This window comes from Homo sapiens, chromosome 2 (genome assembly GCF_000001405.40).
Source record: "Homo sapiens chromosome 2, GRCh38.p14 Primary Assembly".
Lineage (NCBI taxonomy): Eukaryota > Metazoa > Chordata > Mammalia > Primates > Hominidae > Homo > Homo sapiens.
The window spans coordinates 211,398,291-211,414,644 of NC_000002.12; the positions used below are offsets into that span (position 1 = coordinate 211,398,291).

Below are 16,354 nucleotides of genomic sequence, written 5' to 3' on the forward strand. Positions count from 1 at the left end.
TTCAGTTGTGGTTAAGGTGCCAAAAACTTTGTCACTCCCACTGGGATACTTAGAGAGTAAAAGAAAGTGTTATTAATAATTATGCTTCTGATACAGAAGTAAACTAGGATGCACTAAGGAAAACAGGCACTTATGAAAATCTTAATTATGGTACCATTTCTTGACTAGAGTACTGTAACAACCTTCTAGCTGTTCTCCTTGATCTCATTCTTTCCCTTCACTCCAATCTAATACTCATACTTCCTTCCCCTGCTTTAAAAATTGCAAGACCTCTAGGCAAGGTGGCTCATGACTGTAATCCCAGCACTTTGGGAGGCCGAGGCGGGCAGATCACAAGGTCAGGAGTTCAAGACCAGATGGTGAAACCCCATCTCTACTAAAAATACAAAAATAAGCCAGATGTGATGGCATATGCCTGTAATCCCAGTTACTTGGGAGGCTGAAGCAGGAGAATTGCTTGAACCCAAGAAGGGGAGGTTGCAGTAAGCCGAGATTGCGCCACTGCACTCCAGCCTGGGCGACAGAGTAAGACTCTGGCTCAGAAACAAAACAAAACAAAACTGCAAGACCTACTGTTGCCCTCAGGCTAAATGAAGTCCATTATTTGTGGCATTGGAGGCTTTGGTAACTATGATCCTTGCCAGTTTCTCCAGCTTCACCTCTTTCTTTGCTCTTTCCTCATAAGCCTTCAGTCAAATAAATCTCAGATTTGCTTGATGAGCCCTTTCCTCTCTCACCTCCGACCTCTGTCCAAGTTCTAATTACTTCCTCAATGCTCTTTCTGGCTTCTTTGCCTTGATTACATCGTGATCTTATGAAAAATTGTCAGTAGCTTCATTATATTTAATTATTGATTCAAAAAGTATTTATGAAAGAACCCATTATATGCCCCATGTGAATAATTTAACAACTGTATTCTGTTTATTTCATCAGTGTGTCTTTTTTCTTAGACTATGAGTCTGTTTAGAAATGGATTCACTCTAATTTACTATTAAATTTTTCATATCTAGCACAGTGCCAGGGGCACAGACATGGTGAATGTTCAGCAAAGATATATTGAATCAAAGGAGAGATTAAAAAATGTCTTAAACCCAAAGAGTGGCTCTATTGATGAAAAATCTCAGTGACTCCATCAAGCCAGTTGGATAAGTTTTAAAAGATGTGGAATTTTAGCATCCCTGATATTATATATGGTACACATCTTCTTCTGCAGATGGCTTGGGTGGAATTGAACTCAGATGCAATTATCTGACTATTATATCTCATCTAGTACACTCTTCCTGTCAATATCAGTTACTATTTCTGAAGCCATTGTTGGAAATCTTAATTCTAATGGCAAAGTTTTTTAAAAGTATTTTTAAAAGTATTCTTACAAATGGGTGAGTGATTCTGAATGCGATGAACATTTCACATTCAGCTATAAAACTTCAAGATTCTATCACTAGTATGACAACATTCCCCTAAGACACCTAGGTATTTCCTATTGCTTTGGAGACCTAGAGAACCAGGGTTTAGCTGTATCCCTGAAAAATACAACTTGTTAACTAAGAACAATAAGACAGACCTTGTAGATAAACCAACTGTAGGCAGATGCAAAATGTATCCTTTCTCTACAAGTGGTACATATCACCTAACTGCATTTCCACACTGTGGTGCACAGAACAAACACATAAGGAAGGACCATTTTAAAATTTTCAAAAAGTATTTTAAGGATAATCATGGCTAAATGCTACAGAAAATCAAACTTATAAGTCAATGAAATTCTAAATCAAAATTACAGAGTATGAGTCTCTGAGAAGGGAAGTAGCTGCTGGAGAAGAGCTCTTGATAAGAGAAAAGGACGGTCATCCAACAGCCCCGCTGCCTTAAAAAAGTGTTCTCTAAGCTTAGGGTTCTCATCTGTAAAATGGGGATAATAATGCCTGTGTTGGGTGCTTTATAAGCTTTATAAGCTCGTGTTTATGATGTTAAATATCTTTGAATAGAATAACATAGTAGATAAATGTGCAACAGGCTTTTTTCTCCAGTGACATAAAGAAAATACAGCTGAATACTGAATTTTCCAAGTATCCCTCACACAAAATCAACTAAATGCTGCCTTCCAAATAAGCATACACTTTTTATATACCACAATAAAAGTATTTGCACAGTGACATGATTATCTGTGTGAGGGTAGAGGTTATTTTGCAAACTTTGTATCACAAATTTTATTTGAAGTAAAATAAGCCAGGCACAGAAGACAAACTTTGCATGTTCTCACATATCTGTGGGAGCTAAAAATTAACACAATTGAAATTATGGAGATAGAGAGTAGAAGGATGGTTACCAGAGGCTGGGAATGGTAGTCAAGGGGAGAGTAAGAGGAAGTGGGGATGGTTAATGGGTACAAAAAAAAAATAGAGTAAATAAGATCTAGTATTTGATAACACAACAGAGTGACTATAGTCAATAGTAATTTAGCTGTATATTTTAAAATAAATAAAAACATATAACTGGATTGCTTGTAACACAAAGGACAAATGTTTGAGATGATGGAAACCCTATTTACCCTGATGTGATTATTAAACATTGTATGCCTGTATCAAAATATCTCCCATACACCCAAAATATATACCTACTATGTACCCACAAAAATTAAATATTTAAAAATTTTTAAAAAGTTTAAACCAAATTTGAAACAATTGTCAAAATGATTGCTGTCACTGACATAAGTAAAATAATGAGAAATAATGTGCAAGTTTCATTTAAATGTCTATTAATTAACACATCATTTAAAATGATTTTAAAGCATTCCTTTGAAAATTAAAACTGCTATGCTTTTTTTCAGTGCAGCAGTAATTCAAAGAAAGGCTCCTTAGAACTCTCAGAGCCCTCACCACTTAGCCACAGAAAGGTGTACATGAAATATCCAGTAATAAAATCCTTAAGCAACTAAAATAAATGAACTGAATGATCTAACAGTAGAGATTATGATAACTGAAATAAAATCTTTATTATTTTTGCTTTCTTTAGATGATGAGGGTGAGAAAGTCAATGGAACGCAAACATTAGAAATTCACATTTTTTACAGAGTATAGGTTGGCATTGATTTTTTTTTTAATCACTTCTACTGAACACTTGAAAGCATCCAGGCAGAGTCCTAATAAGATATATCTCAGAATTCATGATGAGGCATTGTCAACAGGCCAAGGAGAAGTCCTCCGTGCTGAATGTATGCTTCAATTGAATTTTTCCTTCCCTGTGATTGCTGGCCTTTGTAGAGAAAGTTGACACACTAAGAGAGGCATGTAGTCATGTAGGAAATATTTGAACTCTCATGCCCTGTTTGGTGGAGACATCATTCCTATATATCACCTCTTTAATAAATTGAGATCTGAAGCCTTTTGTAGATTTTAAAAACAAATAAACATGCTTAAGAAAGATGCACCTTGGAAAGAAAGCAGCCAGGTTACAGAAAAGTGCTTAGATTGGCAATCTTAAAGTAATTTAAGTGATCTGGAGTTGGGAAAAATAAAATAGATTAAACTTTTTCACATATCCTTTACCCTAGCTCTTCTACCAATAAATAGCAAACAAACAAAAAAGTACTAGAAAGGTAAGAAAAACCTCTTTTATATTTTCTGGGCCACTATGTCACAATTATAATATAATAATATATTATATATTACTAGCACAATTATAATTTATCATATCTAAAGAAAATTATTAAGCCAGGGTGCAGCTATGATCCAATGAAAGGAAATATTAATACATGGTCTTATGAACATATTCACAAAGAAGAGAATGCTTATCTTTCTGGTCATGAGTCTTAAATATTAGGCATCCCAAGCTCTCTTAGGAACCACTACTGTTTTTATCATGTATAAATATATCCCAGACTTTTAGAAACCCTATCTAATTCATCAGTGTTGTCTTTTAGGGTAACAAGCTCCTTAAGTAGATAACCAACCGGTTACATTAGTATCCTGCCTCTCTTATTTCTCCTAAATTTACTTATCCAAGTAGTAAAAAGTTATGTAGTAGCTTCAATTCTGGTGAAGAAAATTTAGATCTAGTTATCCTTGCAAAAAACGATAAATGAGAAGAGAACATTTTGATCATTCTTAGGACTGATCTTTTAAATTCTTACTGAAAAGTGACCAAAAGCTCAGGTGAAAGTAATTAAAAGTAATACTAGCACCCTGGCAGCAATTCTAGGATTTGTATTTGGTTCATTGCCAATATGAAGGCATATTGAAGGTAAATTATGCAGGAGGAGAATATATTTCCAAGAGAGTTTGACACAAGCTCAGCCTGTGAATTATTTGCTTTGAAATGCCTTCATATTCTCCTGCTTGGAAATTCTGGTCAAGAGAAGAGAGCAAAAACAAGCAGCAAGCTCATCCTAAGCGTATAGACAAGTGAACATTCAATAAAACGTTTATCAGCCTGCAATAAAGTTTTAAAATGTGCTGGACCATCCTCCCCTAGAAAAGAGGAGGTACAATAAATAGTTATTATATTAAACTTTCAGAGACCACCCCATCCATCTTGATGTTCTAAACACCAGAAGTCCCCAAAGCGGCTTTCACTAACATGCTATTTGAAACTAGTAGTTAATTCCTGACAGCCGTTCCTCCTACATATTTTCTAACCTCTTTGACCCAAAGGTGGATTTACCTTGAAGCAATGAAGTTTAAGCTTTAGACTCTTCAGTTATAGGCCTGATGAAGAACCCAAGTCATAGATTCACATGATTTGGGGGTTTTATAAAATTTGCAAAAGTAAAATTTTCATTTTTGTGTTCTCTTTCTCAAAGAGGCTCCACCTCTACTCTCAATTATTAGTGTCTGGCTCCACAAAACCTGGACTGCCCCTTTTCCAACCTCGCTGTTTCTGAAAATGTTCCCTACAGTTTATTATTTACCAAAAATCTGGCTTTCATGAGATGCCACTCTGCACATCCTTTCTTGCTTTCTTGGAATATTTCATCTAATGGAGAATGTCTATTCCATGATTCAACTCAGGCCTCAGAGCCAAGGTTAATATGCTGTAAGATTCCAGATACTAGCTCTTCAAAATTCATTCAAGCCCTTCTTCTTTTGAAGACTCATGCTAAACAATTATACCACAGGTTCTTATCTTTGTGACTATAATCTACAGTCTTTGGAGGCATTGTCCAGCACTCAGAGTGTTCATGCTCATTGGTATCACTGAGATTGCAATTATGCCTGGCTTGGTCCCAAAACCTTTCACCATGGACCCCACTAAATACCTAAGTATTATAATTCTGGAGCCTCCTCCTTGCCTACAGTCTTATCTCCACTGCACTTTAACTACCATATAGCTGCTTTAACTACCATATAGCTGCGTATACATTTTGACATCACTGTGAAAAGCTCTCAATGCCAATTCTTTAAGAATCCCTTTCTCTGACCACAATCTCTTATTCTTTCTGTGCATTGATTTCCTTTCTCTGACTCAATCGGTTCTTCTGCCTTTTATTTTTTTCTGCTCCTCAATTAATCCCTTGGCACTTTATTTTTCCAGCATGGGCTTTGAAGTAAGCCAGGTATGGTTTTGAATACTTTGGCACTTACCAAAGCTATTTTACAAGCTTCTCAACCTCTCTAAGTCCCAGTTTCCTTTGCCTAACATGAGGAAAGAATGCTCCTTCCTTTTCCTTAGTATTACATTTTATGGGAATGTTATGTCAAGAACCTAGCATACTCAGTTGACAGCAGATATACAACGTTAGTATTTACGTAATTATGTATAATTAGGTACATAGATAAGAGAAAAAGAAATAAGTTACTTATACCCCATTATCCTTTATCCTTACATCACTGATCCTCAATGTAACCTTTAGTGCCTTCAGCTTCAGCGTTATTTTTGCAACTGCCCTACCGGAGCTCAACTCTTGATTTATCTCTTTTGTTCCCTCTCCCTTGCTGCCGGTTCCATCAGTGCTACTGAACAGTCATGCATTCAAGCAGAATGGTGCCTCAAAAAAGCCAAGTTTTCTACGCCTTTGGTGATCCTTAGATTTACTATCCCCTCATTTGTCTTTGTTTGTATGCCTTACTGTGGCATTTTTCTTAAGCCTTAGCCAGTCTCTAAGCTTCCTAACACAGCCCTGCTCTTCTCCCTCTCTGTCAACAGCCTGCTCTCAATATAATAGAGAGAACAGAATCTAAATGTCTATAGGTTGGAAGTACCTCAATGTCCCTCAATTTAACCTCTAAATTATAATAAAATAGAAAATTTACTACTTGTTATTACAACTGGACTGAATTGTCTCTTGACAGACAACTAACTTTGTTAAAACACTTTTTTTTAACTTTGTTAAAACATTTTTTTTTAATCTTGGTTAAGTGTTTGTTTGTGTAGTTGGTGAGTCAACTGAGAGTTGAGTACCAAGGCTTCAGATGAGAAGGAAAATTATACAACAAAATCGAGAAAGGAAATTTTGGAGCTCCAGATCAGTCTGGGAGGAAACAGCTGAAAAAGGCAGAGAGAGAAGAGGATTAAACAGTAGGTGACTGTACTTTCTATGAAGTGACCCCTTCAACCTAGTCCACCAGTTCTGTTTTCAATCTAATCTGCCAAATTCATGAAATCTGGATGTGAGTTATTTTTGTTGTTGGAGAAATGAGAGAAGAGACTGATTTGTGGAAATCAAGGAAGTGGTGAGAATTAATAAAATGTGGAAATTAGGAAATTGGAACTTAAAAAAGAGAAGAGCTAACAGTTAATGAGTTGTTAGTTTGAAGTGCTTTACCTATATTGCTGCACTACATCCTCATATATACCTGTGGTAGATATTATTCTTATCATCATTTTAGAGTAGAATAAACCAAGAGGTTAAGTAAGTGGCCAAGTTTACAGAACTAGTTAAGTACAGGAAGTCAGACCTCAGATTCCGTGATATGCTATGTTGCCATATCACTAAATTGCCTCAATCAGCACTTTATCCTCAGTGAATTAAAAGAAAATATGAGGAAGCAATTCGAATGTCTTCCGTTCGTGAATTTCAGGTTCAATAAAATTGTATCTAATGCTCAAGGGACAGAGAAACTTCCATCTGACACATGGGTTAAAAATCTCATTCTTAAATTTTATCATGCCAAATGTACTTCTTCTTGCCTAAGATAAACTTTTCTACAAATGTGTTGGACATACCTTCCCCTAACTCCTCCCAGAGTTTTCTCCACCTATCCCCTATTATCTTCCATAATCTCTGTGATTTCACTGGCTCACTCGTCTCTAATATTTGGATGCCCATTATTCTAGAAAACTTCCTCTGACTCATCTTCCTTTCTGAATTCACATTCTGCGTCCTTTCTTCCTTTCACATAGATGAGTTTTTCAGAGAAATTCACATTTCCTGCCTTTAACTCCTCAATCAATTTTATTCGGCTCTTCACTAGTTCTACATTCTACCAAAATTTCTCTCAAAAAGGATAGTAAGATGTCATGAATCAAGAATAATAATGGTTTCCAAATTATGAGTTAACTTCACTCGAGCTCTAGACACACATTCCTATCTAATGACTATATCTACTTATGTTTTAAAATATTAATTACATCTCCTTAATCTACTCCTCTGTTTTCATGTATTAATAGTAACGTTAACGTCTTCCTAGTCACCCTAGACTTCTCTCCTTCCCACTCTGCAACATCCAACTGATACCCAAATCCTGTTGTTTCTATCTCAAAACCATCACTTCCATCAAACTTTCCACTCATGTCCTGTGACTCAAGAAATAATCAAATCTCTCTTTGTTTTAATTCACATATTAAAAAGCTACCAGAATTTTCTTACTAGAAGCCAGGTCTGACTTTGCCATGCCCCTGCTTAAAAACCCTTATTTGCTCAAATGATCCCTTAACGTATTCTCTTTGTCCCTATTATAACACTTTCTCATTGCATTTTATTGGCTAGTTACTTATTCATAAATTTCTTCCACAAATAAGAGGGCACAACTGCATATGGCTCTAGTGGGAAACCATTAGTTCAGATATATAGTAGATACCTAAATAAATGTTTGATGAATGGATCAATTATTGAATGAATAAATGCTTCTGCTACTTGCCTGAATTAATCATTATTCAATATAGGTAAGTAGAAATTTCTAAGTCTGAATTAATGGATACACAGCTAATAGTAAGATGATTTAGCCCCTTAAAGATCAAAATTAACATTTATGAGGAATCTGATGATAAAAACATTCAAAAAGTCAAAATTCCTCACTGATATACTCATCTTTAATGTACTGAGTACTGATCTTATAGCAATAATAAAAGAGAAAAGAAATGTCAGAGGCAGACTGAGAGGCAATGCATCATTTTGGTAAACAGTGCAGCCTCAAGGGACTCTCGAGCCAGGCTTCCAGGTTTTGTCATTGAATAGCTGTGCCTCGGTTTACCCACAAAAGTGATAAAAATAGTTAGTAGTAGATAGATAATAAACAAAAAATAGTAAATACTAAAATAGTAGAAAAATAAAATAGAAAAAACTAAACTCAAGGCCAGGTGCAGTGCCTCATGCTTATAATCCCAGAACTTTGGAAGGCCAAGGTGGGTAGATTGCTTGAGCCCAGGAATTTGAAACCAGCCTGGGCAACATGGCAAAAACCCACCTCAACAAAAAATAAAAAATTAGCTGGGTTTGATGGTGCATGCCTGCAGTTCCAGCTACTCAGGAGGCTGAGGTAAGAGGATTGCTTGATCCCAGAGTGGGGAGGTTGCAGTGAGCTGAGATCACCCCACTGTACTCTGGCCTGAGTGTCAGAGCAAGACTCTGTCTCAAAAAAATAAAAATAAATTTTAAAAAACTAAACTCAAGGGGTTTTCATGAGATTTAATAAACTAATAAATATTAGACACTATGGTACTTGGCAAAAGATAAGTGATAACAGGTATCACCTATTATTATTTACTCTTTGAGGAATTTAATACACTTATATGTAATTACTAGACACAAAAGAATGCATTTAGTCATTTCGACCCAAGAATATCCTGTAGCCTGGTCTCTCTAACACATAACTACAATACCGGACTCTAACTAAGAAGAGACTGTAGTAGGCTCCAAATGAATATGAATTATGTATACCTCAACATCTCCATACGCTAGGAATTATAAACACTATTTTTTTTTTCTTCCCAGGGAGGGAAACAATTAAGTATGAATGTTGCTAAACAATTGTCTATGATTATTGTTGGAAAAAGCAAACTAAATTGGTTGTAGATTAAACTTCCAATTTCTTTCCCTTTTTGATTTACTGTACTTCTTTCATCATAATGTAGCATATTTTGCTGCAAGAGATATAGTCATAGTATTTGGAATTTTTCCCACGGTGGTCTACCCATCTCTCAATTCAGCTTTTGCTCAAGTGTAATGAGAGGCTGGTCCACAGCCATTCATTTACAATGTCTGAATAAAAACGACAGAACACAAATTAGCCTCTCTTTAGAACACGCTGCTATGTCAGAATTCTGAACTGAAAAGAGAACTTTTCATTTGGGCAGGTGAGCGAGGAAAGGGACTGAAACACAAGATCCTTGTGATTAGGATATGTTCAACTGCAGAAAGTGCACAAAGGAAAGCTGATGAGCCGGCCCACCCCCTACTATCCACAACCATCTTCTCCATTCTGTTTCATGGAGTAATCAAAGGATATTCTGAGCCTCTCAAAATGCCATCAGTCCTTATTGAGAATAAAATAGAGCATCTCTCTCTCTCAAGCCTTTGCAGAAGCAATCATCATAGCAGGCTGGCCTGAACAGGGAGCTCTGGCAGACAAAGATGGATTTGTAAAATAAATAAATAAATACATACATACATAAATTAAATAACTTCCAAAAAATTTGAATAGAAAGTTGATGATAATGTGCCACTTCTATTATATAAAGGGTAAAGAAACTCACAATTGTCCTTTCTAGGTCGAGTACAGTAAAGAATAGGCTTCTTGATGAGATTTTCCCAGTAATTTACAGCAGAGCTGCGAATCTTGTAGCAGTAATACTAAAAATTAACCATCTAAATGATTTAGATAAAACATTCATTAACATTCTCAATCTAAGGATCCTCTCTAGTTGTCCCTCCCACCTCTTTGTGTCCTTTTCCAGCTCTGATTTTCCTCTTTAGCACTTTTTAACAAAGAGTGGATGAAGCCTATTTCAACTGTTCAGAAAGGCTTCTCGTGCCAGCTGATAGTTGCTCAAGTGTAAAATAATTTCATAAAGATCTCTGAAACATTCTTTAGCGCCAGACTCTCCTTAAACAAGCAGTGTTTCTAAGACACGCATTGTCTTAGTGTTGTAGAAACATGTTTGGCAGCAGCCAAGTCTAGTGCTGATAAGAAGCTACAAACAATAAGCACAAGTTGTTCTTTCAGGTGAATCATTATTTACTAGATAGGTCATTCTCTTTGGAGCCGGAAGACCTGACACTCGTCTGGTATTTGCCAAGCTCTTAACCAAGTTACTGAGTTATTTAATAGGCCAAGAATTTAGTGTTCTGTATAATTGGGATTCTGGTGTAAAAATAAAATGCCACAGATGCCAAAATGCTTTGCAAACTTTTAAGCACTGTTCAGCTGTCACTTATTTTTGTGAATGTCACAAGAATAAAAGTGATTCACTGATTTGAATTACACTGCTTGTAGCAAACTCCGAGGATGTAAAGGGGACAGGATATTTTTCAAAATAGTACTTCGTAGTCTAGAGTAAAACGAAAAAGGCTTCATAAAATTTGTCCCCAATATTTAAAAAACAAAATAAATAAAGTAGAAGTCTGTACCATCTCTTCCATCTTTTAATGAACTCCATTTGAATGATTATTAGGCTTATATTTTATTTAATTGCTATTTATTGAAGATTATTATATATATATTTTTAACCAAATGACGGGTGAGAGTTGAAAGCATAGACAAATCAGTAAAAAAACCTTACTTTTTACCATGTAACCTGGAAGTCTCAGCAAAAATACTTTGCCTCTCTGCTTCATTTTTGCCTTTGTAAAATGGCCATAATAATGCTTTTCAGTTACCCTTGTTATGAAGGTTAAGGGTAATAAATGTAAAAAAGCTCCAAGCAGAGCCTAATACATGAATATGTGATCAATAAATGGTAGCTATATTTAGGTTTGTGTTTGAGAATTTTGAAACATTTGTTTAACTTGTAAGGATCATTTTATCTTCAAGTAGGTAATGACTGAGTCCCGATACAGACATTGTTCTCCCTGCTTTTTTGCTCTGATTTTGGCTCTATCAATTCCATTTGTTCCTCCTAATCATTAACTCTTGATTACAGGGAGTCTCACAGAGGCATAAATCGAGCAGGGGCTCTGGCTTCTCACTGTGCTCCCAGTAAGATCCTTTTAAGCCAATTGATACTAAATCTCACTAAACTTAAAGTCAAAATCAAGATTTTCATGGTTTTGACCAGGGGTGGGGGGAACCAATAGAGCAATAGAGGTCTGAATACTAGAGTTAGACTTGAGAAACTGAAGCTTCTCACATACCCCTTAGAAGCACAAGGACACTGGGCTACAGGTTTTATATTTTCCAGTATCAGTATACACATATAAGATGAAAGGGTTTACACTAGAATGTCTTTAAGGTCCCTTGCAACTCTGACACTCCGCGAGTACATAGTTACTTATGCATCCACCTCGTACTACAACAGTGCATCTCAGTGAAGCAAGTCACTTCACTCAGAGTTCATCTATATATACTAAGGCCAAGGACAAACCACACTGGTTGTATTTCTATTCAGAGAAAATCTAGTGGAAACATATGTTCAGAGAAGGACATACATGCTAGGGAAAAAGAAGGAAAACCAAGTGCCAAAGGAAGGATGTTAAATTATGTTGTCCATATTGTAAGGAGAGCCTGGTGTCTGCATGTCAATGAGAGTGTGGGACTTTATACGCAATGAATAATGTATTTGTTTTAAATGTATATATATACACACATTGCCAATCTCTCCTCTTTTCCCGAATTGGAGGTCAGTTATAAATATCAGGCTGCTGCTTCAGTTTGGGTGAGGAGTAAAATCATTGTGATTTACCACGCTATGAGAAATATTTCACCTCTTTCACATGTGTAAACATGCATTTATAGGTTTATAATACCAATGGTTGGTGTTCAGTTTGACACACATAAAGGACTAGACTTTGTTTAAATATTAAAGAGAAAAATAATAAGATTAACATTTATTACAAGAGAAAATGTCGAAAGGGATACAGGCAATTATTTAACAATGGAAAAAGCAGATTCCCTGAAGAATAAAGCAGTGACTATAGAGGAATTCATACTGTACCATAACAAGGAGGCATTATACAAAGTTCAAATCTACTAGAAGTGATTTGTATGATACCTGGAGATACAATTTGATAAATTAAAACTTACCTCTTTATTACTAAAGAAATTGAGAAAATAGTTCAATTTTGTTTGTAATTCCTAAAGACAGGGCTAAATGAAGAATTTAGAATTCAGAGCTGGTACTATAGAAGGCTTGACATTAAGTTTAATAAGATATTATAACCCAACCCTATGAAAATCCTTAGGAAGTCAGGGATAAATTAAAGAACAATAACAATTTGTAAAAAAAACCTTTGTTTTTTAAATTTAATTTTGTTTTGTTTTATTTTGAGACAGAGTCTAGCTCTGTTGCCAGGCTGAAGTACAGTGGCGTGATCTCGGCTCACTGCAGCCTCCACCTCCCGGGTTCAAGTGATCCTCTTGCCTCAGCCTCCTGAGTAGCTGGGATTATAGGCATGCGCCGCTACACCCAGGTAATTTTTGTACTTTTAGTAGAGATGGGGTTTCACCATGTTGGCCAGGATGGTCTCCATCTCCTGACCTCATGATCCACCCACCTCAGCCTCCCAAAGTGCTGGGATTACAGGCGTGAGCCACCACGCCCAGCCTAAGGTACCGTGTTAAATACAAGTAAATCTTACAAAGAATAGCATAACTGAACTAATATATCCAGATTTTAAGAAAGTCACTGGTAGAAAAGACATTGCAAAAAAAGGTCCCTTGATATTTTTGTTATATATAAATTAAGTATTTGAAAGGTTTCTCAAATTAGTGGAAAATCAGAGGGGTCAGAACCATTTTTGATATCCCTGTAATTTCCAAGAGCTTGGAAGGACAAATGAATGCAATTTGACATTATGTCCTTATTTAAAAACAACAGTCAAATCTATAATACATAAGGAGAGGAGCTCTTTCTTAAAATATGCAAATTATCCAGCCACACCTCTAAAGTCAAACAGAAAGCACCAACATGATCTATATTTTGAAAGAGATCAATGTTGGGATGATGCTTGCAGCTCTGGGCAGTTTTGTGTGTGTGAGTTGGAGAAGAGTGGAAAATAAATTGCAGTGACTGGTCAACTGGAATGACCAAGGCATTTCCTTGGCTAAACGTTCAAAAATCCTTCAACTGTTAGTGACAATAGGATTATATATCATTTGAAGAGAGACCTACTAAAACATGCATCATTCCAGTTTCTTCCCTTGATGGAAATAATAGAAAGCTGTACTCTAAATAGATGAAGGCCAAAAAATAAAAATTGGTGCCAATAAATGATAAAGCATGGAAATATTAATTAATATTGTATTTCACTTGGTACAATGTAAACACTATTATTTAGAAATTGAGCCTATTTTCCAAAAAATAAAAAATAAAACTAATTGGATCTCGATTAGAGTAATATTATAGTAACTTCTGTGAAGTGATGAGGGCCTGAAATAGATTCAAGACAACAGAAACAGAAGATAGGAATTTGAGAGCTGTTTTTCAGGAAGGCTAAGAGAAAAAAAAAAAGTTTTTAAATTGAATAATTTAATGAGGAGCAAGAGATTTCAAAATCATGTTTCAAGCCATCCTAACATTGACAGAAAAAAAAGAAAATTGGAAGAAAGTCCATCTCACCTCCTGATAAAAGTTCTCAAGCATGTGCAATATAGAAATATTACAAAAAGTAGAAATTAAAAAGTAACAAAAACACATTTCTTCACCTTTGTTTGTGGTGGGGGGTTTTATTTGTTTGTTTGTTTTTGCCTTTCTTCTGATCCATTTCAGATCTGCTCATCTGCTCCACCAAAATGATTTCTATTCCAAGCTAGATAATCAGCCTCCACAAAGATACATTTAAAATGACTTTTTATAACCTCTTAAACTGATTTAGCTTCCTTTGTCTTTTTCCTATAATTCCTGGCATGTCTCTCTCAGAATATTATCTCCTCAACTAGAATATTAACTCTTTGATGGCAGGACCTCTGTCTTCCAACTTTGTACTCTCATTGCCCAACACAGTACCTAGCCTATGATAAACATTCAATATATTAATTCATTTACTCTTTCATTATAAGAAATTGAACAATTTGGCCAGGCATGGTGGCTCACGTCTGTAATCCTAGCACTTTGGGAGGCTGAGAGGGGTGGATGACGAGGTCAGGAGATCCAGACCATCCTGGCCAACATGGTGAAACCCTGTCTCTACTAAAAATACAAAAATTAGCCGAGTGTGGTGGCGTGTGCCTGTAATCCCAGCTACTCAGGAGGCTGAGGCAGGAGAATCGCTTGAACCTGGGAAGTGGAGATTGCAATGAGCCGAGATCGCTCCACTGCACTCCAGCCTGGCAACAGAGTGGGACTGTCTCAAAAAAAAAAAAAAAGAAAGAAAGAAAGAAAAGAAATTGAACAATTTAAAAAATTTCTACTTAGGCCCAGTGCTGTGGCTCACGCTTGTAATCCTAGTGCTTTGGGAGGCCAAGGAGGGAGGATTGCTTGAGGCCAGGAGTTTGAGACCATCTTGGACAACACAGTGAGACCATGTCTTCACACAAAAAAATGTTTTTTTAAATTACCCGGGCATGGCAGTACACAACTATAGTCTTAGCTATTCAGGAGGCTGAGGCAGAAGGATCACTTGAGCCCAGGAGGTCAAGACTGCAGTGAACCATGAATGATTGTGCCACTGCACTCTGGCTTGGGGACAGAGAGAGACCCTGTCTTAAAAACACACACACACACACACACACACACACACACACACACATTGATAAAAAAAAAAATAAAAAAACCAAAAACAAACAAAAGCCCTTGTCATAGGGAGGATCTTAAGAAGAAGAGCCCCTTCTTTTGTCTTAATAAAAACAAACAAATAAACAAAAACCCTCAAGCATCATGTCAAAGATACCACCATGTCAAGCCAATATCCTGAGACTACAATCATTTATCATCAAGTAGCAGCCGTTGTTAGAAGTGATGTTGATCCTTGGTAAATTGCAACCACAGTAACCTTGTCATATCATCACAAAATTCTCGCACTATATCATTTAGCTATGAGATACTTCCTTAACTTGTGTCCATAGGGTTTTCTCTTCTATGTTCAATCACATAAGGAAAAAAGTTATGCATAGAGGCGATGCAGGATTTTTTTTGCTCCTTAGCTCAGCTAATCTGGGTTTTTGTTTGACGACCATGAAGAATTAGGCATGCGGACACATTGAAGGGTGAGGAAGGTGGAATGTATTAAGTGAAAAAGAAAGCTCTCAGCAAAGAGAGGGGGTCCTGCAAGCAGCTTTCCACCTCCCTCAAATTGAATACTAGCACCACCACACACGAGATAAAGAGGCCAGGCTCCTCCCCTGGATAAGGCGCAAATTCCTGGTGGTTCCACCCCATTCCCCCAGTGCATGTGGGCTTCCAGTCCACTGCGGGCACGCCCAGGCAAGCACCCCATGCAGGCTTCCTTATCTGCACAAAATATCTGGTGTAAACACTTGTGGGGGCGAGTTGGAGACTCTCTGGGGACCCTTCCCTATCTGCCTAGGCCTTTGTCTGCCTCCTACCTCTATCAGAGGTAGGCCAAAATGTTTTTGATCATTTTCTGATGAAATGTTTCTTAGAAGAAAATACAGCGTGACCTGGCGTGGTGGCTCACGCCTATATCTCAACACTTTGGGAGGCTGAGGCGGGCGAATCACTTGAGGTCAGAAATTCGAGACCAGCCTGGCCAACAGGTGAAACCCTGTCTCTACTAAAAATACAAAAATTAGCCAGGCATGGTGGTGCATGCCTTAGTTCCAGCTACTTGGGAGGCTAAGGCAGGAGGATTGCTTGAACCTGGGAGGCAGAGGTTGCGGTAAGCTGAGATTGCGTCACTGCACTCCAGCCTGGGTGACAGAGCCAAGACACAGTCTCAATTAAAAAAAAAAAAAAAAAAAAAAAGAAAAGAAAAGAAGAAAAGAAAGAAAATACAATTTTAATGCATGAGATATAATCAGGCAATATTTTAAAACATAACTAAGGTTAAAGCTTCATCGATTTGGTTCCAGAATGTGAGATTTCT

General features: G+C 36.8%; 1 protein-coding gene across 11 annotated transcripts in view, besides 2 other annotated features; it reads right to left on the bottom strand.

Moving 5' to 3' along the window:
• ERBB4 (erb-b2 receptor tyrosine kinase 4) overlaps positions 1-16,354 on the bottom strand; it is a 1,163,086-nt gene that overhangs the window by 22,574 nt on the left and 1,124,158 nt on the right. The gene's annotated exons all lie outside the window — the stretch shown is intronic.
• Positions 15,288-15,789: an enhancer, noted in NCBI's record as "H3K27ac hESC enhancer chr2:212278303-212278804 (GRCh37/hg19 assembly coordinates)". NCBI's record gives its function as "activates a minimal SCP1, AML or CMV promoter by ChIP-STARR-seq in primed H9 embryonic stem cells {active_cell/tissue: H9 hESC(primed)}" and the evidence as "EXISTENCE:reporter gene assay evidence [ECO:0000049][PMID:30033119]".
• Positions 15,790-16,289: an enhancer, noted in NCBI's record as "H3K27ac hESC enhancer chr2:212278805-212279304 (GRCh37/hg19 assembly coordinates)". NCBI's record gives its function as "activates a minimal SCP1, AML or CMV promoter by ChIP-STARR-seq in primed H9 embryonic stem cells {active_cell/tissue: H9 hESC(primed)}" and the evidence as "EXISTENCE:reporter gene assay evidence [ECO:0000049][PMID:30033119]".